Raw genomic sequence first — 27,735 nt, forward strand, 5'->3', positions numbered from 1 at the left:
GACCCCTTTAAGGCGCGGCCAGAGTCCTCCCGCAGAAAAACGACTTAAAGGAGACGCGTGGCGCGATGGCGGCGGCCCCACGCGCGGGCCGGCGGCGCGGGCAGCCGCTCCTGGCGCTGCTGCTTCTGCTGCTGGCGCCACTGCCGCCGGGGGCCCCGCCGGGCGCCGACGCCTACTTCCCCGAGGAGCGCTGGAGCCCGGAGTCGCCCCTGCAGGCGCCGCGCGTGCTCATCGCGCTGTTGGCGCGAAACGCGGCCCACGCGTTGCCCACCACGCTGGGCGCACTCGAGCGGCTGCGGCACCCGCGGGAGCGCACGGCGCTATGGTGAGTCGAGCCCGCTGTCCCCATCAGGCGGGTCACGCGAGCCCCTGCTTGCTGTCCCCATAGGGGTGGGTCCACGCGAGCCCCTGCCCGCTGTCCTCTTCTGGGCGGGTCCGCGCGTGCTTCCTGCTCGCTACCCCCATCGGGACGGTTCTACGCATGCCCCTGCCCGCTGCCCCCATCGGGACGGGTCCACGCGTGCCCCCTGCCTGCTGTCCTCCCATGGGGCCAGACACAGCCCTCCCCACAACACAAGCGGGACCGAGTTCCTCCTGCTGGCTCCTTTGGGGTGGGCTGGGCACCGCTTCTGCCTGCTGGACCCTACTAGGGCAGCTCCGGCCTCACTAACTGGGGCTCTAACTCCCTCTGGGGCACGTACACCTCCAAAGGACGGAGCCCAGAGCCCCCACTGGGGCGTTGCCAGAGGCCACATCTAACAGCAAGCCTTTCTGTGCCGGCTGCTGCCCTTAAGCTTGAACTCAGCCTGGCTCCAGGCCCCAGTCAAACCCCTGCCCTCAGACCGGCGTGGGTGGAGTCCAGGACCAGATGGCCCAGGAGGAAGTGGATGCTTTCTTGGTAGGGAATGGGGCAGAGCTCTGAAGAAACCTTTGACTGGTGACTTCTCACTCCCTGCCTCAGTTTTCTCAAATGGAAAATGGGTCCGGGTGCAGTGGCTCACGCAGTAATCCTAGCAATTTGGGAGGCCAAGGTAAGCGGGTCACTTGAGCTCAGGAGTTCGACACCAGCCTTGCCAACATGGCAAAACCCCGTCTCTAGAAAAAAAATACAAAAATTAGCCAGGTGCGGTGGTGTGTGCCTGTAGTCCCAGCTATTCAGGAGGCTGACGCAGGAGAATCGCTTGAGCCCAGGAGTTCGAGGCTGCAGTGACCTATGATTGCACCACTGCACTCCAGCCTGGGCTACAGAGTAAGACCTGCCTCTAAAAAAAGAAAAAGAAAAGAAAATGAGCGTATTAATATAATTCTCTTTTTGGGTTTGTCTCTGAAGATTATCCAGTTAATGGATGTGGAGCCCTTGGGTCTGGCATGGGCTTGGCTCTCAGTGATTTTATTATCATGATTACTGTCATTGCTGGTGTTATTGTCAACTTAATTTATTGGGCAGAATTAGCTTTTGGCACTACGGTCAAACTAAACTCCCAAATGTCGCTTTTCCTTCCACCTGATTTCTCAGTCTGGATAATCCAAATACACAATTGGTACTTAACAAATGTTTGTTGAATGAATAATTGACTGCAGCCCACTGAAGTGGTGTGGCTCACAGGAGAAGATGAAGGCAGGGTAAGGGATTTATGAGATATACTTTGAGATATACTTTTTTTTTTCTCTCAGACGGAATCTTGCTCTGTCGCCCAGGCTGGAGTACAGTGACACGATCTCAGCTCATTGCAACCTCCGCCTCCGGGTTCAAGTGATTCTCCTGCCTCAGCCTCCCGAGTAGCTTGGGATTACAGGTGCGCACCACCATGCCTGGCTAATTTTTGTATTTTTAATAGAGTCAGGGTTTCACCATTGTGGCCAGGCTTGTGTTGATCTCCTGACCTCATGATCTGCCTGCCTCGGCCTCCCTAAGTGCTGGGATTACAGGCATGAGCCACAGCGCCCTGCTGAGATATACTTTTTTTTTTGATACAGGGTTTTACATCTGTCGCCCAGGCGGGAGTGCAGTGGTGCAATCCTAGCTCACTGCAACTTCCCCCTCCTGGGCTCAAGTGATTCTCCTGCCTCAGCTTCTTGAGTAACTGGGACTACAGGCGTATGCCACTGCGCCCAGCTAATTTTTGTATTTTTTCTAGAGATGGGGTTTTGCCCTATTGGCCAGGCTGGTCTCGAACTCCCGAGCTCAAGTGACCTGCCCACCTCGGCCTCCCAACATATTGGGATTACAGGCGTGAGCCATTGCACCCAGCTGGTTTCTGATATATACATTTCATTTTTTAATATTTTTTATTTATTTATTTTTTGAGACTGAGTCTCGCTCTCGTTGCTGAGGCTGGAGTGCAGTGGCACGATCTCGGCTCACTGCAACCTCCTCCTCCCAGGTTCAAGCGATTCTCCTGCCTCGGCCTCCTGAGTAGCTGGGATTACAGGTGCCCGCCACCACACCCAGCTAATTTTTTGTGTTTTTAGTAGAGATGGGATTTCACCATGTTGGCCAGGCTAGGCTCAAACTCCTGGCCTCAAGTGATTCACCCGCCTCGGCCTCCCAAAGTGCTGGAATTACAAGCGTGAGCCACCATGCCCGGCCTAATTTTTGTATTTTTAGTAGAGATGGGGTTTCGCCATGTTGGCCAGGCTGGTCTCAAACTCCTGACCTCAGGTGATACACCCGCCTCGGCCTCTCAAAGTGCTGGGATGACAGGCGTGAGCCACCGTGCCTGGCCTGATCTATACATTACAAAAATTGCCGTGTGCGGTGGCTCATTCCTGTCATCCCAGCACTTTGGGAGGCTGAGGCAGGTGGATCACCTGAGGTCAGGAGTTCGAGAGCAGCCTGGCCAACATGGCGAAACCCCATCTCTACTAAAAATGCAAAAATTAGCTGGGCATGGTGGTGGGCACCTGTAATCCCAGCTACTCGGGAGGCTGAGGCAGGAGAATTGCTTGGACCTGGTAGGCGGAGATTGCAGTGAACCAAGATTGTGCCACTGCACTCTAGCCTGGGTGACAGAGCAAGACTCTGTCTCAAAAGAAAAAAAAAATTAAGTGACACATATTTGTTAGTGAATGTGGTTTGCAAGATCTTAGATGCTCAGTAATAAAACAGCCAATCACTAATGGGTCTTTCCAAAATCAGCTTGTTTAATCCTTCCACTTCCCAGTAAACTGGGTCCTGTTCCCACCCCCATGTTACAGATGAGGAAACTGACATGGAAAGGGAGAAATGGGCCGGGCGCGGTGGCTCACGCTTGTTAAGTCCAGCACTTTGGGAGGCCAAGGTGGGCGGATCACGAGGTCAGGAGATCGAGACCAGCCTGGCCAACATGGTGAAACCCCGTCTCTACTAAAAATACAAAAAAATTAGCCGGGTGTGGTGGCGGGCGCCTGTAGTCCCAGCTACTTGGGAGGCTGAGACAGGAGAAGGCGTGAACCCGGGAGGCGGAGCTTGCAGTGAGCCGAGATCGCGCCACTGCACTCCAGCCTGGGCAACAGAGCGAGACTCTGTCTCAAAAAAAAACAAAGGAAAGGGAGAAGTGTCCTGTCCAGGGATACATAGCTGGTGGGAGGCCAGTTGGGGATGGTGGTCCTTGACTTGCCTCACTGCTGCCTGGTCCTGCCTCAGTCTCCCCAAGTACGCTGCCTGTCCCCTCTCCCTGCAGGGTGGCTACGGACCACAACATGGATAACACGTCAACTGTGCTGCGGGAGTGGCTGGTGGCCGTGAAGAGTTTGTACCATTCCGTGGAGTGGCGGCCAGCAGAGGAGCCCAGGTGAGCATCTTTCCCCTGCTCCTAGTCTGATTGGGCTTTGCCTCTGCTCACACACCCTCTATGGCTCCCCATTGCCCCAGAACAATTACAGGCCCTCAGTCCCTGCCTCCAGCCCAGCCAGGCAGCATTAAGCTACTCTGAGCCTCCCTCAGCTTTACAAATAGGCCATAATCCTCTTCTCAGACCTTTGCCCAAGCCGTTCCCTGTACCTAGAATTCTTTCACTCCCTTTTTCTTCTGGGGACGCCCACTGCTTTGTTCCCTGGCTCACTGACTCAGTCTTGGTCCCAGCACTGGCTTTGCTGTTTATCTACTCCCTAAAGCCCTGGGCAGCATGGACTCCCTGCCCCCACCCAGTTCCTTTCTGGGTTTTTGTTTTTTTTTTGAGACAGGGTCTCACTCCCTCACCCAGGCTGGAGTGCAGTGGAGTGAACACAGCTTACTGCAGCCTTTAACTCCTGGGCTCAAGCCATCCTCCCGCCTCAGCCTCCTGAGTAGCTGGGACTACAGGCACATGTAACCATGCCTAGCTAATGTTTTTGTATTTTTTGTAGAGATAGGGTCTCACTGTGTTGCCCAGGCTGGTCTCAAAGTGCTGGCCTCAAGCGATCCTCCCACCTCTGCCTCCCAAAGTGCTGGGATCGCAGGCGTGGGCCACTGCACTGGACCCCACTGAGCTTCCTTCCTTCCTTCCCTCCAGTGTGCCTCGGGCTTTCTTCCCTCCAGGCCTTTGCACAGGCTGTACCTCCGGCCAGGAACATTCTCCCCACTTCTCTTTCCTCGTCGTTTACTTTTTCCCATCCCTCAGATCAGCTTACACGTCCCCTCCTCCAGGAAGCTCTCTCTGAGTACCCCGAAGGCAGCTCAGGCCCTCGCTGGGCTTTGATAGTGCCTTGTGATGTCCACATCACAGCTGCCTCCCCATAGGTCCTACCCGGACGAGGAAGGCCCGAAACACTGGTCTGACTCACGCTACGAGCATGTCATGAAGTTGCGCCAGGCAGCCCTGAAATCAGCTCGAGACATGTGGGCTGATTACATCCTGGTAAGTTTCTCAGCCGGCCGGATATGGATCACAGGCAGGTCTGGGTATCCCCAGGGAAGGCGGAGCAGCAGGATGCCAGGACCATCCTTAATGTTGTTTTGCAGAAGGGTAAACTGAGGCTTAGAGAGGGGAGATGAGTTGCTTGAGGTGATATGGTTGGTCAGTGGAGGAGGAGCTGGGATTCATTTGATCCTCAGCACTAGGAATGAATGGGCTTTTCTGTCCCCAGTTGTCCCCTGTGTTTGGACACTTGGGTCAAGTCCATTTTTATTTTTTTATTTTTTTGAGACAGAGACTCACTCTGGTGCCCAGGCTGGAGTGAAGTGCCGCAATATCGGCTCACTGCAACCTCTGCCTCCTGGGTTCAAGCGATTCCCGTGCCACAGCCTCCTGAGTAGCTGGGACCACAGGCACCCACCACCACGCCCGGCTAATTTTTTATTTTTATTTTTGTGGAAGCCAGGCATGGTGGCTCATGCCTATAATCCCAGCACTTTAGGAGGCCAAGGCGGGTGGATCACTTGAGGTCAGGAGGTCGAGACCAGCCTGGTCAATATGGTGAGACTCCATCTCTACTAAAAATACAAAAATTAGCCGGGCGTGGTGGCAGGTGCCTGTAATCCCGGCTACCTGGGAGGCTGAGGCAGGAGGATTTCTTGAACCTAGGAGGCAGAGGTTGCAGTGAGCCGAGATCGTGCCACTGCACTCCAGTCACTGGGCGACACAGTGAGACTCCATCTCATAAATAAATACATAAATAAATATTTTTAAAAAATAACAAATAAAAAATATTTTTGTAGAGACGGGGTCTTGCTATGTTGCCCAGGCTGGTCTCCAACCCCTGGGCTCAAGTGATCTTCCTGCCTCGGCCTCCCAAAGTGCTGGGATTACAGGCATGGGCCACCGTGCCTGGCCGTGTCACGTCTGTTTTTATCACCATCATATGTAATGGCCAAACCTTTGGGTCACTTCCAAGAAGCAGGAGGAAGGGGTCAGGGGCTGGGGGGTGGTGGCCACATTGAATTGCTGAGGCCTGACTTGCACTTCCTCCTCCTGTGGGGACATTGTCTCATGGGGAAGGGAACAGTTGAGTCTTTTTATTTTTTTCTCGAGCCAAGATCACGCCACTGCACTCCAACCTGGGCCACAGTATGAGACTCTGTCTCAAAAAAAAAAAAAAAAAAAAAAAAACAGACTTATAGGTTGAATATTACTATTATTTTTTAATTTGTATAAACTTATGGAGCACAAGTGTAATTCTGTTACATGCATAGATTGTGAAGTGGTGAAGTCAGAGATTTTGGGGCGTCCATCCCCTAAATAATATACATTGAACCCATTACACAGTTTTCTATGATCAACCCCAAATGTTATTTCAGCCTTCATACTTTTCTATATTCTCCTGATTTTCTTTTTTCTTGTTTTTTGAGACAGAGTCTCTGTTGCCCAGGTTGGAGTGCAGTGGCACAATCTCGGCTCACTGCAGCCTCCTCCTCCTGGGTTCAAGCAATTCTTCTGCCTCAGCCTCCTGGGTAGCTGGGATTACAGGCCCCCGCCATCATGCCTGGCTAATTTTTGTAATTTTAGTAGAGACGGGGTTTCGCCATGTTGGCCAGGCTGGTCTCTAAAGTCCTGACCTCAGGTGATCCAGCTGCCTCGGCCTCCCAAAGTGCTGGGATTATAGGTGTGAGCCACCACATCCAGCCCATCTCTTAAAACAAACAAACAAAAAGCAGAAAAGAAAAAGCAAAGAGTCAAGTGAGCAAAGTGATTACGATGCAGTGGTGGCTAGAGGTCCAACTACACAGGCCAGTGGAGGCACTTGGTGTCTACTTGGAGGGGAATGGGGAGCCATGGAGGGTGTGTGAGCAGGGGAGGTCTGTGTTCTGATTTGAGATTTTCAGAAGCCTCTGTGGACCAGGCGCGGTGGCTCATGCCTCTAAATTCAGTACTTTGAGTGGCTGAGGCAAGTGGATTGTTTGACTTCAGGAGTTTGAGACCAGCCTGGTCAACATGGTGAAACCCTGTTTCTACCAAAATATAAACATTAGCTTGGCATGGTGATGCGCGCCTGTAACCCCAGCTACTTGGGAGGCTGAGGCAGGAGAATGTCTTGAACCCGGGAGGCAGAGGTTGCAGTGAGCTGAGATTGCACCACTGCGCTCCAGCCTGGGCGACAGAGTGAGACTATGTCTCAAAAAAAAAAAGCCACACACTAGCAGGAAGCTGGAGTAGAGGCCCAAGCAGGGTATCAGCGATTGATGGACAGGCCTGCATGGGGTGGGGGCCGTGGAGAAAGGCAGGGGGTTCAGGATGCGTCACGAGGTGAAGGAGACAGGTTCTGCTTTGACACTGGATGTGAAGGTGCCAGGGAGAGAGGAACGGGGACAGTGCCACATCTAGGGAGGACGGATGGAGCTCCTGAGGGGACCCTTTCGCTTGGTGCCTTATCAGACCATTTTATAGGTGAGGAAACAGGCTGACGGAGGGGACATCTTGCCTGGTGGGGTGTCAGAACTGGCAAGGAGGCAGAGAGGTGGATCTGGAGCCTTCCAGAGCCTTCTGACACAAAGCTGCCTTGTCCTGCCTCTAGGATTTTGCTTTTGTGGTTTGAGGTTGCCTGGCTTTAGCTTTTTTTTCCCTCAGCAAACCGGGGTGGAACTCAAAGTGCTGGTTCAAAACTCAAAGTGGCTTTTGACACAAAATAATATTTTCGTGTTTCTTTTTTTTTTTTTTTTTTTTTGAGACAGTGTCTCACTCTGTCGCCCAGGCTGGAGTGCAGTGGCGCGATCTTGGCTCACTGCAGCCTCCACCTCCTGGGGTCAAGTGACTCTCCTGCTTCGGCCTCCCAAGTAGCTGGGACTACAGATGCTTGCCACCATGCCCGGCTATTTTTTTTTTTGTGACGGAGTCTCACTCTGTCGCCCAGGCTGGAGTGCAGTGGTGCGATCTCAGCTCACTGCAAGCTCTGCCTCCCAGGTTCATGCCATTTTCCTGCCTCAGCCTCCTGAATAGCTGGGACTACAGGCGCCCGCCACAACACCCGGCTAATTTTTTGTATTTTTAGTAGAGACAGGGTTTCACCGTGTTGGCCAGCATGGTCTCGATCTCCTGACCTCGTGATCCACCCGGCTTGGCCTCCCAAAGTGCTGGGATTACAGGCGTGAGCCAGCGCGCCTGGCCCGACTAATTTTTTTTGTATTTTTGTAGAGACAGGGTTTCACTATGCTGACCAGGCTGATCTCGAACTCCTGACTTCAGGTGATCCACCCACCTCGTCCTCCCAAAGTACTACTGGGATTACCGGTGTGAGCCACTGCGCCTGGTCACAAAATTATATTTTTGTAACTGGGGACTTTGGAACCCATATTGGAATGTGAAATAGTTTGTCTAATGTTTTAAAATGATTGTTTGAAGGTCCCCCTTTCTCTCTCTTTTTACAAAAGCTATGGATGTTACTTGCAGGTAAAAAAAATAAATAAAAATATACGAGCTGGGTGTGTCTCACGCCTGTAATCCCAGTGCTTCAGGAGGCCAATGTGGGAGGATCATTTGAGGTCAGGAGTTCAAAACCAGCCTGGGCAACATAGTGAGACCCCCCCCATCTCTACAAAAACTAACAAAAAAAAAAAATTAGCCAGGTGTACTGGTTTGTGTCTGTAGTCCCAGCTAATTGGGAGGCTGAGGTGGGAGGATTGCTTGAGCCCAGGAGTAGGAGGCTGCAATCAGCCATGATTGTGTCACTGTACTCCAGCTTGGGTGACAGAGCGAGACCCTTTCTTAAGCTTCGTATATGTGTATGTGTGTGTGTATGTGTGTGCGTGTGTGTATACATATATACATATATACGTGTATATGTATATATATCTATATATGTATATAAACATATATACGTGTGTGTGTGTATAATATAGATATACATATGAAACAAGAAAGAAAAACATCTACTTTTTTTTTTTTTTTTTTTTTGAGATGGAGTCTCATTTTGTCACCCAGGCTAGAGTGCAGTGGCGCCATCTCGGCTCACTGCAACCTCTGCCTTCTGGGTTCAAGCAATTTTCCTGCCTCAGCCTCCGGAGTACCTGGGATTACAGGTGCCCGCCACCATGCCTGGCTAAGTTTTTGTATTTTTAGTGGAGATGGGGTTTCGCCATGTTGGCCAGGCTGGTCTTGAACTCCTGACCTCAAGTGATCACCTGCCTCAGCCTCCCAAAGTGCTAGGATTGCAGGCGTGAGCCACCGCCCCTGGCCAGCATCTAAATTTTAATTGTATCTCCTGGAGAGATTCACTTTCTCCTCTTTCTTGTTTGTTTTAATTGAAGTCAGTTCACATATATATTTATTTGTTTTGCAACCACCACCTCTAATTCTAGAACATTTTCATTCCCCAGAAAGAAAACCCTATTCCCATCAGCAGTCACTCCCCAACTCCCCATTCCTCTCCCCTAGGCTCTGGCAGCCACTAATCTGCTTCCTGTCTACGGATTTGTCAATGGAATGTCACACTATATGGCGTTTCGTGTCTGGTTTCTCTCACTCAGCATTGAGTTTTCAGGGTTCATTACAGCCTGGATCAGTGCTTCCTTCCTTTGTATGGCTGACTCTTATTCCGTTGTCTGGGTGGACCACGTTATGTTGATCTCCTCATCCGTTGATGGACACACTTCAGTCACTTCCACCTTTTTTGGCTGTTGAGACTTTTTTTTTGAGACAGAGTGTTGCTCTGTCGCGCAGGTTTGCAGTGCAGTGGCACGATCTCGGCTCACTGCAACCTCCATCTCCTGGGTTCAAGCGATTCTCCTGCGTTAGTCTCCCGAGTAGCTGAAATTACAGGCATGTGTCACCATGCCCGGCTAATTATTTTTATTTATTTTTATTTTTAGTAGAGACGGGGTTTCACCGTGTTGCCCAGGCTGGTCTTGGACTCTTGACCTCATGTGATCTGCCTGCCTTGGCATCCCAAAGTGCTAGGATTACAGGTGTGAGCCACTGCACCCGGCCTGGCTGTTGGGATTCTGACATGAACATGAGCGTACAAAGACCTGTTTGAATTATCTGGGCATGGTGGTGCGCGCCTGTATTTAATCCCAGCTACTCAGGAGGCTGAGGCAGGAGAATCATCTGAACCTAGGAGGTGGAGGTTGCAGTGAGCCGAGATCACACCACTGCACTTCAGCCTGGGTGACTGAGCAAGACTCTGTCTCAAAAACAAACAAACAAACAAAGAAGCTGTTTGAGTCCTTTCTTTCAATTCTCTTGGTTCATACCTAGGAATGGAATTCCTGGATCATGTAGTAATTCTATGTTTAGCTTTTTGAGGAACTGCCACAGTGATCTGGCTGTTTGTTCTGCATTAATATTCAAAGGTCACAGATTCAAACATCCAGAGGGACCGGATGGGGTGTGTAACATGACCACAGGGCTTGTCCTAAGACCCAGCCACCTCCCCTCTGCAACTGAAGGTTGCCATGTGGAAATGGTATTCTCACGTTGCCAGGGGATACTGGAATTCTAGTTTTTGTTGTTGTTCATGGCAGTTAATCCAAATATTCTAAACGATACTGCCTGGGTAACAGAAAGCATCTCTGTGGACCAGCAGTAAAAGAAAAAAAATCCAGACCGGGCACAATGGCTCACACCTGTAATCCCAGCACTTTGGGAGGCCGAGGCAGGCGTATCACTTGAAATCAAGAGTTCGAGACCAGCCTGGCCAACCTGGTGAAACCCCATCTCTACCAAAAAATACAAAAATTAGCCTGACGTGGTGGCATGTGTCTGTAATCCCAGCTACTTGGGAGACTCAGGGAGAATTGCTTGAACATGGGAGGTGGAGGTTGCAGTGAGCCGAGATCACGCCGCTGCACTCCAGCCTATGCAACAGGAGACGCCATCTCAAAAAAACAAAAACAAAAACAAAAAACCTTCTGGTAGTTCTGTGATATATCATGACTTCTGTGTCTTTACATCCTGGTAGAGGGGGAACGTCCGGACCTAATCATTTTCTATGTGTGATTTTATATATATATATTTAATTTTAGTCTAGGTGCAGTGGCTCAGACCTGTAATCTCAGAACTATTGTAGGCCATGGGGAGGATCGCTTTGAGCCCAGGAGTTCAAAACCACCCTAGGCAATGTAGAGGGATCCTATCTCTACAAACATAAAAATAAAAATGAAAACATTATCTAGGCATGGTGACGTGTGCCTGTACGCTCAGCTACTTGAGAGGCTGAGATGAGAGGATCACTTGAGCCCAGAAACTCCAGGCTGCAGTGGGCTACGATTACACCATTGCACTTCAGCCTGAGTGACACAGCAAGATGCTATCCCTTTAAAAAATAAAAAATGAAGAAAAAGTAAAATAGTAGGCCAGGCATGGTGGCTCATGCCTGTAATCCCAGCACTTTGAGAGGCCGAGGTGGACGAATCACATGAGGTCAGGAGTTTAAAACCAGCCTGGCCAACATGATGGTACCCTGTCTCTATTAAAAATACAAAAAGTTACCCGGGTGTGATGGTGCACGGCTGTAGTCGCAGCTACTCGGGAGGCTGAGACAGGAGAATCGCTTGAACCCAGGAGGCGGAGGTTGCAGCGAGCTGAGACCATACCACTGCACTCCAGCCTGGGTGACAGAGCGAGACTCCGTCTCAAAAAAAAAAAGGTTTTGCTACCTTCTTGCTCATTGGTTGTTCATTTATTTCTCAGGGCTATCTCAGTGCCTAGAATTTTCTTTGAAGGAACTGAAGACCTTTGCTTTATTTCCATGATCCAGGGGATCCTGCAGGCCCCCAAAACGGGGTCCCTGCTTCATTTCATCCGGTGTAGGGGGTGCTTCCAGAGGTCTTTGCCAGACCCCCAGGGCACTGGCCTTTGCCCCAGCTGTTCTGAATGGTAGCCTGACCTGGCAGCCCATGCTGATGCTTTGTGGGGTGTTCTGCAGTTTGTAGATGCGGACAACCTGATCCTCAACCCTGACACACTGAGCCTGCTCATCGCTGAGAACAAGACGGTGGTCGCCCCCATGCTGGATTCCCGGGCTGCGTACTCCAACTTCTGGTGTGGAATGACTTCCCAGGTAGAGTGAGGGCCTGGGGACTGTGGGGACTGGGCTGAGCAGGGGGGTGCCGTGGCTAGAGTGTAACTTACTGTCACACAACCTCGTGGTGTGTGTTTTACAAAAATCATCATGGAAGCTGGGCACGGTGGCTCACACCTGTAACCCCAGCACTTTGGGAGACTGCGGCAGGCGGGTTGCCTGAGCTCAGGAGTTTGAGACCATCCTGGGCAACATGGTGAAACCCCATCTCTACTAAAAAAAAAAAAAATTACAGAAATTAGCCGGGTATGGTGGCACATGCCTGTCCTCCCAGCTGCTCGGGAGGCTGAAGCATGAGAATCACTTGAACCCAGGAGGCGGAAGTTGCAGTGAGCCGAGATCACGCCACTGCACTCCAGCCTGGGTGACGGAGTGAGACTTGGTCTCAAAAACAAAACAAAACAAAAACTCATTATGGTAATCTTTAAACAGCCCTCTGAGGCCAGACAGGAGGGAAGAATAGAGGGTCCTTGATTGTCCCCCACCATGCTATTCCAGAGGTGGAAACAGAAACACAGAGAGGAAGTGACTTGCCTAAAGTCACACAGCTAGCAAGTGGTGGTGTCAGGATGGGACTTCAGGCATGGCTTGATCCAGGTGTTTGGATAACTGTCTTTCTCCATCCTTTGGGTGGGTTCATTCTCAGACAGCTTGAGAGTGATCCCAGCAGCGTCTAGCCATCATCCATTCTGATTGGGCCATTGCTAGTCTCCTCTCCACACTACCTCTGAACTCATTACTGAAGCTGGGAAAATACAAGGCTCTTTCTTATTGGCCATGCCTGGCCACAGGTCCCACACTGGGCTTGAGTCTGGGGTCCTGGGACCACAGGCGCACACTGCTGTGCCTGGCTGTCTGTCTGGTCCTGTTTCATGCCGCCCACTATCACGGGTCTCCATCCTCACCTTTCAAGACCCCTACGCGGAACTCTCGCTCTCTCCCCACAGGGCTACTACAAGCGCACACCTGCCTACATCCCTATCCGCAAGCGAGACCGCCGGGGCTGCTTTGCAGTTCCCATGGTGCACTCGACCTTCCTGATCGACCTGCGGAAGGCGGCGTCCAGGAACCTGGCCTTCTACCCACCTCACCCTGACTACACCTGGTCCTTTGACGACATCATCGTCTTTGCCTTCTCCTGCAAGCAGGCAGGTACGTACATGAGGGGTCTGCCATCGCAGGGGCATCTGCCTGGTTCTTTGGGTTTTGCACTAAGCCAGTTCAGAACACACTGAAGATTCACAGAACCCAAACAATGCAGCGCAGGGCTGACTTCAGGTGCAGCTGTATCTAGGTGTTCAGATAATGTCTCCAGGACCCCGTTTCTCTCCAGCCCTGGCTTTGCTGGTTAGCTTCATTCCCTAGCTCTTTAAGATCTATTGGTTGGTCAGGCAGAGTGGCTTATGCCTGTAATCCCAACAATTTGGCAGGCTAAGGCGGGTGGATCATTTGAGGTCAGGAGTTTGAGACCAGCCTGGCCAACATGGTGAAACCCCATCTCTACTAAAAATACAAAAATTAGCCGGACGTGGTGGTGCTACTGGGGAGGCTGAGGCGGGAGGATCACTTGAATATGGGAGGCGGAAGTTGCAGTGAGCCGAGATCATGCCACTGCACTCCAGCCTGGGCAACAAAGTAAGAATCCTTCTCAAGAAAAAAATACCTATTGATTGCATGTTACTATTATTTTTTAATTTGTGTAAATTTATGGAGCACAAGTGTAATTTTGTCACGTGCATAGATTGTGAAGTGGTGAGTCAAGAGATTTTAGGGCATCCATCCCCAAATAATATACATTGAACCCGTTACACAATTTTCCATGATCAACCCCAAATGTTATTTCAATCTTCATACTTTTCTATATTCTCCCAATTTTCTTTTGTTTTTTTTTTTTGAAGTAGAGTCTTGCTCTGTCACCTAGGCTAGAGTGCAGTGGTGCGATCTCGGCTCACTGCAACCTCTGCCTCCTGGTTCAAGAGATTCTCCTGCCTCAGCCTCCCAAGTAGCTGGGATTACAGGCATACGCCACCATGTCTGGCTCATTTTTATATTTATAGTAGAGACAGGGTTTCCCCAGGTTGGCCAGGCTGGTCTCAAACTCCTGACCCCAGGTGATCCGCCCACCTCGGCCTCCCAAAGTGCCGGGATTACAGGAGGGAGCCACTGCACCTGGGCCATTCTCCTAATTTTCTACAGTTGAGCATATATTAATTGTTTAATTGGGAAAACAAATATTTAAAGAGACAGCACAGCCTCATGTTGACTTGTTGTTTACTGGAAACCAGAGGTTGGCAAACTGACCTGCAGGCCAAACCTGGCCCACTAATTACTTTTTTTTTTTTTTTTTTTTTGAGACGGAGTCTCGCTCTGTCGCCCAGGCTGGAGTGCAGTGGCCCGATCTTGGCTCACTGTAAGCTCCGCCTCCTGGGTTCACGCCATTCTCCTGCCTCAGCTTTCCGCGTAGCTGGGACTACAGGCACCAGCCACCAGGCCCGGCTAATTTTTGTATTTTTAGTAGAGACGGGGTTTCACTGTGTTAGCCAGGATGGTCTTGATCTCTTGACCTTGTGATCTGCCCACCTCGGCCTCCCAGAGTGCTGGGATTACAGGCGTGAGCCACCGCGCCTGGCCCCACTAATTACTTTTATATGGCCACAAGCTAACAACAACTTTTATATTTTATTTTTATTTTTTTAGAGACACAGTCTTACTCTGTCACCCAGCCTGGAGTGCAGTGGTGTGATCGTAGCTCACTGCAGCCTCAACCTCCTGGGCTCAAGCAATCCTCTCATCTCAGCCTCCAGACTGGCTGGGGCTATAGGCACCTGCCTACATGCCCAGCTAATTGAAAAAAAAAATGTTTTTGTAGAGATGGGGTCTTGCTATGTTGCCCAGACTAGACTTGAACTCCTGGCCTTAAGTGATCCTTCCCACCTCAGCCTCCCAAAGCGCTAGGAATACAAACGTGAGCTACGGTGCCTGGCCAACAATTTTTACATTTTTATTATTTATTTATTTATTTGACACAGGGTCTCCCTCCGTTGCCCAGGCTGGAGTACAGTGGCATGATCTCAGCTCACTGCAACCTCCACCTCCCAGGTTCAATTGATTCTCCTGCCTTAGCCTCCCTAGTAGCTGGGACTACAGGTGTGCACCACCACGCCTGGCTAATTTTTGTATTTTTAGTAGAGATGGGGTTTTGCCTGTTGGCCAGGCTGGTCTCGAACTCCTGACCTCAGGTGATTCACCCGCCTCAGCCTCACAAAATGCTGGGATTACGGGCATGAGCCACCACACCCGGCCAATTTTTACATTTTTAAATCACTGGGGAAAAGAATCAAAAGAAGAAGAATATTGTGACACATGAAAACTGTATGAAATTCAGATTTCATTGCCCATCAATAAAGTGTCATCAGTACCCAGCCAAGCCCATTCATTTAAGTGTCGTCTGTAGCTGCTTTCAAGTGCCACAGGCAGAACAGAGTCATTGAGATAGAAACCGTCTGGCACACAAGCCTAAAATACTTACCACCTGGCCCTTTATAGAAGAAATTGACCAATTAAAATTAAAAGAGGCCGGGTGTAGTGGCTCATGCCTGTAATCCCAGCACTTTGGGAGGGTGAGGTGGGTGGATCACATGAGGTCAAGAGTTTGAGGCCAGCCTGGCCAACATGGTGAAACCCGTCTCTGCTAAAAATACAAAAATTGGCTGGGCATGGTGGTGGGTGCCTGTAGTCCCAGCTACTTGGGAGGCTGAGGCACAAGAATTGTTTGAACCCAGGAGGCAGTGAACGGAGATCACACCACTGCAATCCAGCCTGGGCGACAGAGCGAGACTCTGTCTCAAAAAAAATAAATAAATTAAATTAAAAGAGCATCATTGAGTTTTTTAGTCTAAAAAAGATACACACTTGGCTGGGCTCAGTGGATCACTTGAGGTCAGGATTTCGAGACCAGCCTGGCCAACGTGGTGAAACCCCACCTCTACTAAAAAAAAATACAGAAATTAGCTGGGTGTGGTGGCGGGTGCCTGTAATCCCAGCTACTTGGGAGGCTGAGGCAGGAGAATTGCTTGAACCCCAGAGGCGGAGGTTGCAGTGAGCCGAGGTGGCACCACTGAACTCCAGCCTGGGCGACAGAACGAGACTCTGTCTCAAAAAAAAAGATACACACTCATCAAAATTTAAACCATCCAGAAAAGGATAGATGTAGAAGGAAGTAACTTAACTCACATTTTGTCAAACTTTCCTTTTTGTGCCTCAACATGCATTTTTACTGTTTTTTTTTTGGGTTTGTTTTTGAGACAGGGCCTTGCCCTGTTGCCTAAGCTGGAGTGCAGTGTGCCATCATAGCTCATGGCAGCCTCAAGTCTCCTGGGCTCAAGTGATCCTCCTGCCACAGCCTCCCGAGGAGCTGGGACCATAGGCAGGTACCACCATTCCCAGCTAATTTTAAAATTATTTGTAGAGCCGGGCGTGGTGGCTCATACCTGTAATCCCAGCACTTCAGGAGGCCAAGACAGGTGGATCGCGAGGTCAGGAGATCGAGACCATCCTGGCTAACATGATGAAACCCCGTCTCTACAAATACAAAAAATTAGCCAGGCATGGTGGCATGTGCCTGTAGTCTCAGCTACTAGGGAGGCTGAGGCAGGAGAATCACTTGAACCCGGGAGGCGGAGGTTGCAGTGAGCCAAGGTAGTGCCACTGCACTCCAGCCTGGGAGAGTGAGACTCTGTCTTAAAAAAAAAAAAAAGTTGTTTGTAGATATAAGGTCTTGCTCTGTTGCCCAGGCTGGTCTCAGACACCTGACCTCAAGCGATCCTCCTGCGTTGGCCTCCTGAAGCCGTGGGATGGAAGGCATGAGCCACTGGGCCTCGCCTGTTTTTACATTTGTCTGTTGCTTCCCTGCCCACTGCAGAGGTTCAGATGTATGTGTGCAACAAGGAGGAGTACGGATTCTTGCCAGTGCCATTGCGCGCCCACAGCACCCTCCAGGATGAGGCCGAGAGCTTCATGCATGTGCAGCTGGAGGTCATGGGTGAGTCTGCCTGCACACCGCCCTGGGAGGTGCCAGGTTGCCTCCCTTTCACTGATGTCTCAAATCCGTCCCATGAGCACTGACTGAGTGCCAGGCAGATGCAAGTCCCTGTGGGGGGTGCTGGGTGCAACGGCACGTGTGAACGAGGTGGAGGGTTGTGTCTGCTCTCACAGAGTGCTGGTTTGCAGGTAGCTGTACACAGCATGCTTGGGGTTGTCGGGTGGGCTTCCTGGAGGAGGTGGCATTAAGGGGCAGGTTGAGTAGGAGTTCACCATAAAGGGGATTGCAGCAGGAGGTGGTAGTGTGGGCAAAGGCCGGGAGGCTGGAAGGGACGTGAACCTGGGGAACAGGCAAGGTCAGTGATCCCCTGGGGCTGGTATCCAGGGCCAGGGTGGATGGCCTCAGAGACCAGGCTGAGGAAGGGACCTTCCCCCTGAGGACAGTCAGGAGCTATAGAGGACATGAAAACTGAGAGGACAGCAAGTTTTCACTAAAGAACTGCATGTATAGGCCAGGCATGGTGACTCAAACCTGTAATTCCAGCACTTTGGGAGGCCAAAGTAAGAGGATTGCTTGAGCCTAGGAGTTCAAGATCAGCCTGGGCAACATAGTGAGACCCCATCTCTATATTAAAAAAAATTTTGGCCGGGTGCGGTGGCTCATGCCTGTAATCCTAACACTTCGGGAGGACGAGACGGGCGGATCACAAGGTCAAAAGATGGAGACCATACTGACCAACATGGTGAAACCCTGTCTCTACTAAAAATACAAAAAAAATTAGCTGGGTGTGGTAGCGAATGCCTATAGTCCCAGCTACTTGGGAGGCTGAGGCAGGAGAATCACTTGAACCTGGGAGGCGGAGGTTGCAGTGAGCCGAGATCGTGCCACTGCACTTCAGCCTGGCAACAGAGTGAAACTCCGTCTCAAAAAAAAAAATTTTTTTTTAATTAGTCCGACATGGTGGCACATGCCTGTATTCTAGCTACTCAGGAGGCTGAGGTGGGAGAATCCTTTGAGCCCAGGAGTTGGAGGCCGCAGTGAGCCATAATCGTGCCACTGCACTACAGCCTGGGCAATAGAGTAAGTCTGTCTCAAAAATAATAATAATAAAAAATAATTATCCCAGCTCTTTGGGAGGCCAAGGTGGGCGGATCCCTGGAACCCAGTAGTTTGAGAATATCGTGGGCAACATGGTGAAACCTTGTCTTTACCAAAAAAAAATAACAAAAATTAGCCAGGCGTGATGGCACACACCTGTGGTCCCAGCTACTCGGGAGGCTGAGGCGAGAGGATCCCTTGAGCCCAGGAGGTCGAAGCTGCAGTGAGCCAAGATTGCTTCACTGCACTCCAGCCTGGGCAGCAGAGCCAGACCCTGTATCAATAAATAAATAAATAAAACTTTAAAAAAATCCATGAACTATGAAACCAGCAGCCGTCCCTCTAAAACTGGAGGAGCACGCAGGGCTGAGCTGTAATTGAGGTTGTCTAGGGATGATGCTCCCATCTCAGCCATTGCTAATGTGGGCCTCGCCCTGCACTGGGCGCAGAAAGCCCTGCCAAAGCCACTGCCATTCCCACCACTGCGTAGATGGAGACTGGGTGGGAGGGGTGAGGCCTCTGTCCCGGGGCTCAGTTTCCCCAGCCTTACCGATTTCTGAACGAGTCTATCTGCGGCTCCCCCTGGTGGCTCAAGATGGAATAGCACCCTGCCCTTTGTGTTTTGGGGAGACTTTTTTTTTTTTTTTGAGACGGTGTCTCACTTTGTCACCCAGGCTGGAATGCAGTGGCGCATTCTGGGCTCACTTGAAACCTCCGCCTCCTGGGTTCAAGCGATTCCCCTGCCTCAGCCTCCCGAGTAGTTGGGATTACAGGTACCTGCCACCACACCTGGCAAATTTTGTATTTTTAGTAGAGACGGGGTTTCACCATGTTAGCCAGGCTGGCCTCGAACTCCTGTCCTCAGGTGATCCACCTGCCTCGGCCTCCCAGAATGCTGGGATTACAGGCGTGTGTCACTGCGCCTGGCCTGGGGGAGACTTTTGAGTCTTTTTGAGGTGACACCTGGAGACTGCACAATCACTGGGGCAGGCCCCCCACAACACCCAAGAGTGGCATACTTAGGTGTCCAGGTCCCACCCGGCTACAGTTGGGGGTGGTGGGTCTCCATTTATCACCAACTCCCATCAGAAACGGGCCTGAGAAGCGTCTCTGTGGCTACCAGAGTTTTCCCAGTTTAAGTTCTCACATATATTTGTGTTGTCATTTCCTTTTTTTGAGACAGAGTCTCGCTGTTACCCAGGCTGGAATGCAGTGGCAAAATCACAGCTCACTGCAGCCTCAACCTCCTTGACTCAAGCGATCCTTCCACCTCAGCCTCCTAAGTAGCTGAGACCACAGGTGCATGCCACTACCATGCTCAGCTAATTTGTTAATTTAGGTTTTTGGTTTTTTTGGTTTTTATTTTTTTGAGATGGAGTCTTGCACTGTCGCCTGGGCTGGAGTGCAATGGTGCGATCTTGGCTCACTGCAACCTCCGCCTCCCAGGTTCAAGTGATTCTGCCCCACCTTCCCAAGTAGCTGAGTTTAACAGGCGCTTGCCACCACGCCTGGCTAATTTTTTGTATTTTTATTTTTATTATTTTTTGTTTGTTTGTTTTTTTTGAGACGGAGTCTCGCTCTGTCTCCCAGGCTGGAGTGCAGTGGCCCGATCTCGGCTCACTGCAAGCTCCGCTTCCTGGGTTCACGCCATTCTCCTGCCTCAGCCTCCCGAGTAGCTGGGACTACAGGCGCCTGCTACCACATCCGGCTAATTTTTTGTATTTTTATTGGAGATGGGGTTTCACTGTGTTAACCTGGATGGCCTCGATCTCCTGACCTTGTGAGCCACCTGCCTCGGCCTCCCAAAGTGCTGGGATTACAGGCATGAGCCACTGCGCCCAGCTAGTTTTTTGTATTTTTAGTGGGGACAGGGTTTCAGTATGTTGGCCAGGCTGGTCTCGAACTCCTGACCTCATGATCTGCCCACCTCAGCCTCCCAAAGTGCTGGGATTACAGGCATGAACCACTGTGCCCGGCCTTCTTTTTTGCTTTTTTTGGAGATGGAGTCTCTGTCACCCAGGCTGGAGTGCAGTGTCACCATCATAGCTCGCTGCAGCCTTGAACTCCTGGGCAATCCTTCTGCCTCAGCCTCCCAAGGAGCTACAGATTTCCCCTTTTAAAAGCACACAAGCCATGTGGATTAGGGCCCACCCTAATGACCTCATTTTAACTCGATGACCTCTGTACACAACCCTGTGTCCAAATAGGATCATATCCTGGGGTACTGGTGGTTGGCACTGGGGAGACACAGTTCACCCCATGACATAGTGCATGATCTCATGACATCTCTTTGTGAAACCTCTCAGTGGCTTATTGGCCCATTTTATAGATGAGGAAAGCTGAGGCCCAGGCCAATCAAGAATATACAGCATGCCATCATTTCTTGGTTCATTCTACAAGCAATTACTGAGTGCCTGCTGTGTGCCAAGCCCCTGTGTTGGGCACTAGGGGCCCAGTGTGAGCAGACATACCTGGTGTCCTTCCCAAAGGGCTCACAACAGACAGGCACAGGGCCAGGGGGTTAGGGCAGCAAGGATGCGAGCTTTGGTGGTGCAAGTCCAGGTGCTGCTGGGGCCCAGAGGAGGTGCCTGGCTCAGCCTAGGGAGGTGGGAGTGGGGAGGGTGACCCCCATGCCCAGGGCATCATAGCTGAGAAGTAACGTTACAGAGCAGGGAAAGGAAGGGTATTTCAAGCAGGGATCCAGCATGTGCAAAGGCCCTGAGGTAGGAATGGGGGTTCTTTGGGTTGGCAGGGGCATAGAGGTGGGGCTGGGGGGTAGAGTGAAGCTGGAGCATGGGGCGTGGCCAGGGCTTAGAGGCAGGGTTGGGGGCGGAGTGAAGCTGGAGCCCAGGGCGTGGCCACGGCTGAGAGTCGGGGCTGGGAGCAGGGTGAAGCTGGGGCCTGGGGTGTGACCAGGACTTAGAAGCGGGGCTGGGGGTCGGAGCGAAGCTGTTGCATGGCCAGGGTTTAAAGGTGGGGCTGGGGGGGTGCAGGGTGAAGTTGGAGCCTGGGGCATGGCCAGGGCTTAGAGGCAAGGCTGGGGGAGGCTGTGGGGTGAAGCTGGGGCCTGGGGCGTGGCCAGGGCTGAGTGGTGCGGCTGGGGGGCAGGTTGAAGCTGTAGCCTGGGGTGTGGCCAGGGCTTAGAGGCGGGGCTAAGGGCAGGGTGAGGCTGGGACCTGGGGCGAGTCCAGGGTTGAGTAGCGGGGCCTTGGGCGCGGTGAAGCTGGGGCCTGGGGTGTGGCCAGGGCTGAGAGGCAGGACTGGGGGCGGGGTGAAGCTGGGGCCTGGGGTGTGGCCAGGGCTTTGGGCTGCTGTGCAGGGTTCAAATGACATGGGAGGGGCTCCTAGAGGGCAGCGCTGATGTGGGCGGAGCCAGGTCGACTTTGTGGGCCGAGCCAGTCTGACTGGGAGCCATGGAGTGGGTGGGGAAAGCGTGTTGGAGAGAGGCTGGAGGCTCCTTACCCCAGCGACTCCTCAACGTCTGTGCCCCACAGTGAAGCACCCGCCCGCAGAGCCCTCCCGCTTCATCTCGGCTCCCACCAAGACACCGGACAAGATGGGCTTCGACGAGGTGAGCTGGGCCTTCCCTGGAGGCGGGGCGGGGGCTGGAGGGCCCTTGTTTGCAGGGGCTGATCTGGCTGGGGACTCTCCGGGCTGCAGGTCTTCATGATCAACCTGAGGCGGCGGCAGGACCGGCGGGAGCGCATGCTGCGGGCGCTGCAGGCACAGGAGATCGAGTGCCGGCTGGTGGAGGCCGTGGACGGCAAGTGAGTCCGAGGCCTGGGGGTGGGGGGGCGGGTCCGCACGTGGATGTGGGTGTAGACCTCGCTGGTAGACGGCAAGTGATTCAGATGGGGGCGGGCGTGGTGTCCAAACAGATGTAGACCTCGTCAGTGGGCGTCCTGAAGGGGAAGTGAATGGGACCCTGGGGAAGGGGCAGATCCTCACAGTTGTAGACCATGGAAGGCAAGTGAGTCCTGACCCAGGGGAATGGGTAGGTTTGCATGCTGCCAGTGTAGACTGGTGGGGACTGTGGAGGGGTAAGTCAGTCAGACCCCAGGAGAGGAGGAGAGCAGGTTTGCCCGCGAGTGTATACCATGTGCAGGTGAGTGAGGCCCCATGTGCCCGGAAGGGGTGCCAGTGCTACAAGAGGTGGACCAGCTGCTCAACGCCGCAGGGGGTGGTGGAATGGCCGGGGATGGCAGAATGGCAGGCAGGGTGAACCTTCTTCGTGACCCTCTCCTCCTCCTCTCCAGAGCCATGAACACCAGCCAGGTGGAGGCGCTGGGGATCCAGATGCTGCCTGGCTACCGGGACCCCTACCACGGCCGGCCCCTCACCAAGGGTGAGCTGGGCTGCTTCCTGAGCCACTACAACATCTGGAAGGAGGTGTGTCCTGAGTGATGGGCGGGGCCAGAGTTATGACTCTAGATCTCATCGGAGATTTGGACGGGAAAGGGGTTGAAAGAGTTCCCCAAAGCCCCGGCTAGGCATCCAGCCTCAGCCATGGGACCCATGGCCTCTCTTTAGTGAATGATGCGCCACACCAGCTGTATCACCCCCAGGTGTACCTGCCATCCTTCCATTGCGCAAATGTGGAAACTGAGCCTGGGGGTAGGGGTGAGCCCTTTTGAGCAGCAGGTGGTGTCTGGGGCCTGGGACCTGTAAACAAATCCTCATTACTCCCAGCCTGGTCTCTGTGCTTGATGTTTAGTACTAGAAGTCATGGCCACAGAGCCACTTTAAACCAGCACCTGCCCAGTGCTGCTGGGGGCACTCACCAGCCCAGGCATCCTCATCCACCCTCAGAGGGAGAGGCTGTGATTGGAGGAGGGTGTCTGACTAGGCTTCGAACTTGGGCCATCAGGGCCGGGCATGGTGGCGCACACCTGTGGTCCCAACTATTTGGGAGGCTAAAGTGGGAGAGTGGCTTGAGCCCAGGAGTTAAGGCTGCAGTCAGCCAAGATCGTGCCACTGCACTGCAGACTGGACAGCAGAGCAAAACCGTGTCTCAGAAAAAAGAAAAATGGCTGGGCGTGGTGGCTCATGCCTGTAATCTCAGCACTTTGGGAGGCCGAGGCAGGCGGATCACCTTAGGTCAGGAGTTCAAGACCAGCCTGGCCAACATGGTGAAACCTAGACTCTACTAAAAATACAAAAATTATCTGGGTGTGGTGGTGGGCACCTGTAATCCCTCTACTTGGGAGACTGAGGCAGGAGAATCACTTGAACCCAGGAGGCAGAGGTTGCAGTGGGCTGAAATCATGCCATTGCACTCCAGCCTGGGCGACAAGAGTGACACTCCATCTCAAAAAAAGAAAAATAAAATCCGGGCGTAGTGGCACATGCCTGTAATCCCAGCTGCTCAGGAGGCTGAGGCAGAATTACTTGAACCTGGGAGGCGGAGGTTGCAGTTGAGATCGTTCCACTGCACTCCAGCCTGGGCGACAGGGCGAGACTCCGTCTCAAAAAAAAAAAAAAAGAAAAAGAAAAGAAAAACTTGTTATCGAATGTGAAGCCAAATGGGGGTGTGCGGCTGCAAGGCGGGAGGTGCATGAGGCGTGGGCATTTGAGGGGCTGGGAGGCCTTTCTCTTCTGAGATCCATTATGGACGGCAGAGGGCAGAGGTTTGGATGTCCAGATGTCCCTGGAGCTAGGAGAGGCAGGGAGATGCACTGGCTTCTCTACGGGTCTTTCAAACCTTCTCAAAGCAAAGCTCTGTGCTTTAGGGTCAGGCCTGGCCTTGGCCTCCCTGTGATGTGGCGGGGCTTCCTCCCTCAGGTGGTGGACCGGGGGCTGCAGAAATCGCTTGTGTTTGAGGATGACCTGCGTTTTGAGATCTTCTTCAAGAGACGTCTGATGAACCTCATGCGGGATGTGGAGCGGGAGGGCCTGGACTGGGACCTCATGTGAGTGGGGGTCTGAGGATGGGGTGAAGCTGGGGCCTGGGGCAAGGCCAGGACTTAGAGGTGGGGGTGGGGGCAGGGTGGAGCTGGGACCTGGGGATGGGTCATGGCTTAGAGGCGGGGCTTGAAGGTGGGGTGGAACTGGAGCCTAGGTACATGGCCAGGGCTTAGAGGTGGGGCTGGGAGGCGGAGTGGAGCTGAATCCTACGGGCGTGGCCACAGCGCTGCAGCTGAGCCTAGAGCCTGTATGTCTGGGTGTGGTCAGGGTGGCAGGCGTGGCCAACCCTTGGAAGCGTAGCAGGAGGGCTCACGTGGTTCCTGGGCCTGAAGGCACTGTCAGGGCTGTAGCCTATAGGGAAGGGCGTTGGAAGGATCACCCAGAACTCAAGGGACCTGGCCGGAAGCCTGCAGGCTTGGTCAAGGCTTAGAGACTTGACTGAGGCCTGTGGAGGTGGATGTGGCTAAAATTTGACCGGGCAGCCTGTGGGCGTGGCTGAAGAGCATGGGGGTGTGGTCAGAGCTGGAGGTGTGGCCGAAGAGTGTGGGGGCGTGGCCAGGGCGCCTGGTCTTAGACAAGCCCCTGGATGGGAGTGCCACCAACATGTTTCCAGCACTGGAGCCGTCCTTCTCTTCTGTAAGTGGGCTGGTTTGTCCTCTCCCTTCCTCCATCTCTTTTTTCCCTTCCATGTGCAGTGCCCTAATCTGCATTCTGGGAACACTGCCCCATGTGAATAGTAACTGCACCCCTCCATTCCTGACTGCCCCCCCATCAGGGCACCTCGCCCACCTCCACCCCCACTGTCCTCTGAACTCAGAGCAGCTTCAGCCTCAGAGAACGTCTGCGTGATCCTGCTCTCCCCAGCTCCAGATCCTCCATGGCTCCCTCACGCCCTTTGGAAAAACTCACTCTTCTCCCCCATGACCGCCAGACCCCTGGGCTCCTGCATTCACTCCATCCAGTCACAGAGCTCTGCAAACATGCTGAGCCTGCTCCCATCCCAGGACCTGACGGGGTAACTAGATCCCTGGCTTTCTGGGCAAGCTCCCTCCGGAGGGCGGGAGGAGAGTGACAGGCCCGATCTTGCACCCCAGCTATGTGGGCCGGAAGCGGATGCAGGTGGAGCACCCCGAGAAGGCTGTGCCTCGCGTGAGGAACCTGGTGGAGGCCGACTATTCCTACTGGACCCTGGCCTACGTGATCTCCCTGCAAGGCGCCCGCAAACTGCTGGCTGCTGAGCCGCTCTCCAAGATGCTGCCTGTGGACGAGTTCCTGCCCGTCATGTTCGACAAACACCCAGTGTGAGAGGGGCAGGCGGCTGCTGGGCTGGGGTTTCACGGTGGGTCTGTCCTGGGAGAATGGGGATGTGAGACTCACGGCCTCCGAGAAGATGTCTCTTCTTTTGCCTACTTCTCCCTCCGTTTGCCCCCTCGCAGATCTGTCTCCATTTGTATCCCCTGCACACTTACGTTTTAATCTGTCCCCGCTGACTTCTTCACCCCCAATTTTTCCTCCAGCTGTCCCGTCCCCTGAAGCCATTGCTGCCCCTCACTCCCCTCCTCCTCCCCCCAGGTCCGAGTACAAGGCCCACTTCTCCCTCCGCAACCTGCATGCCTTCTCTGTGGAGCCGCTGCTCATCTACCCCACACACTACACAGGAGACGATGGCTATGTGAGTGACACCGAGACCTCAGTCGTATGGAACAATGAGCACGTCAAGACCGACTGGGACCGCGCCAAGTCCCAGAAGATGCGGGAGCAGCAGGCACTGAGCCGTGAGGCCAAGAACTCGGACGTGCTCCAGTCCCCACTGGACAGTGCTGCCCGGGATGAACTCTGAGGGGTAGCAGCCAGAAAGCCAAAGCAGCCATCGGTGGCCCAGGCTCCACGTGCTTACTGAGGACATCAGGTCCACCTCTGGACCCCTTGGCAGGCCACAGAGGGCTCTCGTGTGGGGTGGTGTCCAGCCAGCTCTTGCTAAGCAATCACGTGCACACAGGCAGCATTAATGGAGTGCCTACTGCATGCCAGCAACAGGGCTTGGCCCTGGGGAATTGGGAGGAACCAAGCCCTCTTCATCTGTTCATGTGCCCAGCATTTATTAAGCACCTGCTGTATGCAAGGTTCCCATGTTACGGCAGTGAATGAGGCATAATTGTTCCCTCCATCAGCGATTGATTCAGTCATCAAGCAGTTACTGATCAGATTAAGAATCAGGCACTAGTGATACACATTCATTTTTAAAATTCATTCAAGGATTTATTGAGTGCCTACTGTGTGTTGGGTGCCATTCCAGGCTCTGGGATTTTTTTTTTTTTTTTTTTAAGAGTAGAGTCTGTCTCTGTCACCCAGGCTGGAGTGCAGTGGTGTGACGGCTCACTGCAGCCTGCGCCTCCCAGCGTCCAGCAATTCTTGTTTCTCGGCCTCCCAAGTAGCTGGGACTATAGGTGCGTGCCATCACATCTGGCTAGTTTTTGTATTTTTAGTAGAGACGGGGTTTCACCATGTTGGCCAGGCTGGTCTCGAACTCCTGACCTCAAGTGATCTGCCCGCCTTGGCCACCCAAAGTGCTAGGGTTACAGGCATGAGCCACTGTGCCCAGCCCAGGCTCTGGGAATATTGAGATAAATAAGATGCTTCTATCCATTTATTCAAGCACATATTGGTCACCTACTGTGTGCCTGGCACTCATGTCACAAAGATAAGTTCCTGATTCGGTACACTTACTGAGCACCTGCTGTGTGCAGGGAGCTGAGCTATGGGATGGGAATGGGAGTAAACAAGGTACTTTTTACTTTTTTCTTTTTTTCCTCACTGCTAGACGGTGTGGGAACTTCTCACTCATTGGCTTCTTTCCCACACACCTGAAGAGCACTGACTGTGTGCCGGGCACTAGTGATACAAAAGAGTGTGACAGTTGTTCAGTCTGCATTTTCGATCATGGGCTACATGCCGAGTGCTGGGGCACAGAGATGAACAAGATCGGTTCCTTCACTTCTTCATGCCACAAGTGTTTATTGAGCACCTGTGTGCCAGGCCTCACAGACTCCCAGTTGGGTTGAAGAATGGTTGACTGAGTTTGATTCTTCCTGTACCCTCGGTCGTCTGAGCTGTGTGCAGACAACATCCCCCCACCACCCAAGAGGGAGGGTAGCTCTTCCGCCACCAGGGGCAAGCACAGGTCCTGGTGGCCCCACGCCACATGTTAGCCCCCCTGGAGGGGGCGCCAGTTGGAGACGGGGGCTGGGTGTCCCTGGCCCACTCCCGGTCCCCTGTGCTTTACCTCCTTGCCCTTGTGTCTCAGGTGTGGTCCCTGCCTGCTTGATGAAGTTGCTCTGTTCAAGCCTTTGGTGGGATCATGTGTTTGGGGGCTTTTAGGGGACCCAGCTGCACTGGGGCACTGCCCGTGGCCTGGGTAGGACATTTCCCAGCAAGGGCTGGAGGAGTTGCCGTGCCTTCAGCCTGAATCGAATGTCAGAACCAGCCAGCGGTGCTTCACCCTCTTGGGGATAACTTGCTTAGTTTTTTAATAAATGTTCCTGGTTGGTTTTCACAGCAGTTTGTGGGATTTTGCTCGGCACCAAAACACTGCCCACGTTCCCCACCCCTGGATGGCCGACAAGATTTGGGAGGAAACCAGGGCAGGTGCAGTAGGGAAGCTGCCCAGTGGGGCCTGGCATGGTGGCTCATGCCTGTAATCCCGGTGCTTTGGGAGGCTAAGGTGGGCGGATCACTTGAGGTCAGGAATTCAAGACCAGCCTGGCCAACATGGTGAAACC

At 52.9% G+C, this 27,735-nt stretch overlaps 1 protein-coding gene across 4 annotated transcripts, besides 4 other annotated features; it reads left to right on the forward strand.

Annotated features, from left to right (window-relative positions):
* On the forward strand, positions 1 to 27,509 carry COLGALT1 (collagen beta(1-O)galactosyltransferase 1). 4 transcript variants are annotated; one of them, NM_024656.4, is made up of 12 exons: positions 1 to 325; positions 3,663 to 3,773; positions 4,700 to 4,817; positions 11,758 to 11,892; positions 12,861 to 13,065; positions 16,835 to 16,954; positions 21,547 to 21,623; positions 21,713 to 21,819; positions 22,309 to 22,441; positions 23,834 to 23,961; positions 25,051 to 25,257; positions 25,529 to 27,509. In NM_024656.4, the coding sequence occupies exons 1-12, from the start codon at positions 66 to 68 to the stop codon at positions 25,794 to 25,796; spliced, it is 1,869 nt and encodes a 622-aa protein (NP_078932.2). In that variant the 5' UTR covers positions 1 to 65; the 3' UTR covers positions 25,797 to 27,509. The 4 variants fall into 4 exon arrangements, with proteins under 4 accessions (NP_078932.2, XP_005260137.1, XP_011526599.1 ...); XM_005260080.5 differs by having other exon boundaries at positions 282 to 898; XM_011528297.3 differs by lacking the exon at positions 1 to 325 and adding an exon at positions 1,779 to 1,796.
* Positions 79 to 168: a silencer, noted in NCBI's record as "silent region_10355". NCBI's record gives its function as "represses an Ori minimal core promoter by ATAC-STARR-seq in GM12878 lymphoblastoid cells {active_cell/tissue: GM12878}" and the evidence as "EXISTENCE:reporter gene assay evidence [ECO:0000049][PMID:35858748]".
* Positions 24,248 to 24,457: an enhancer, noted in NCBI's record as "active region_14279". NCBI's record gives its function as "activates an Ori minimal core promoter by ATAC-STARR-seq in GM12878 lymphoblastoid cells {active_cell/tissue: GM12878}" and the evidence as "EXISTENCE:reporter gene assay evidence [ECO:0000049][PMID:35858748]".
* Positions 24,248 to 24,586: a biological region, named in NCBI's record as "Sharpr-MPRA regulatory region 8704".
* Positions 24,292 to 24,586: an enhancer, noted in NCBI's record as "tiled region #8704; K562 Activating non-DNase unmatched - State 5:Enh". NCBI's record gives its function as "activates a minimal TATA promoter and a strong SV40 promoter by Sharpr-MPRA in K562 cells {active_cell/tissue: K562}" and the evidence as "EXISTENCE:reporter gene assay evidence [ECO:0000049][PMID:27701403]".
* Positions 27,510 to 27,735: the final 226 nt, after the last annotated feature.

This window comes from Homo sapiens, chromosome 19 (assembly GCF_000001405.40).
Source record: "Homo sapiens chromosome 19, GRCh38.p14 Primary Assembly".
In the NCBI taxonomy this organism is placed as follows: domain Eukaryota; kingdom Metazoa; phylum Chordata; class Mammalia; order Primates; family Hominidae; genus Homo; species Homo sapiens.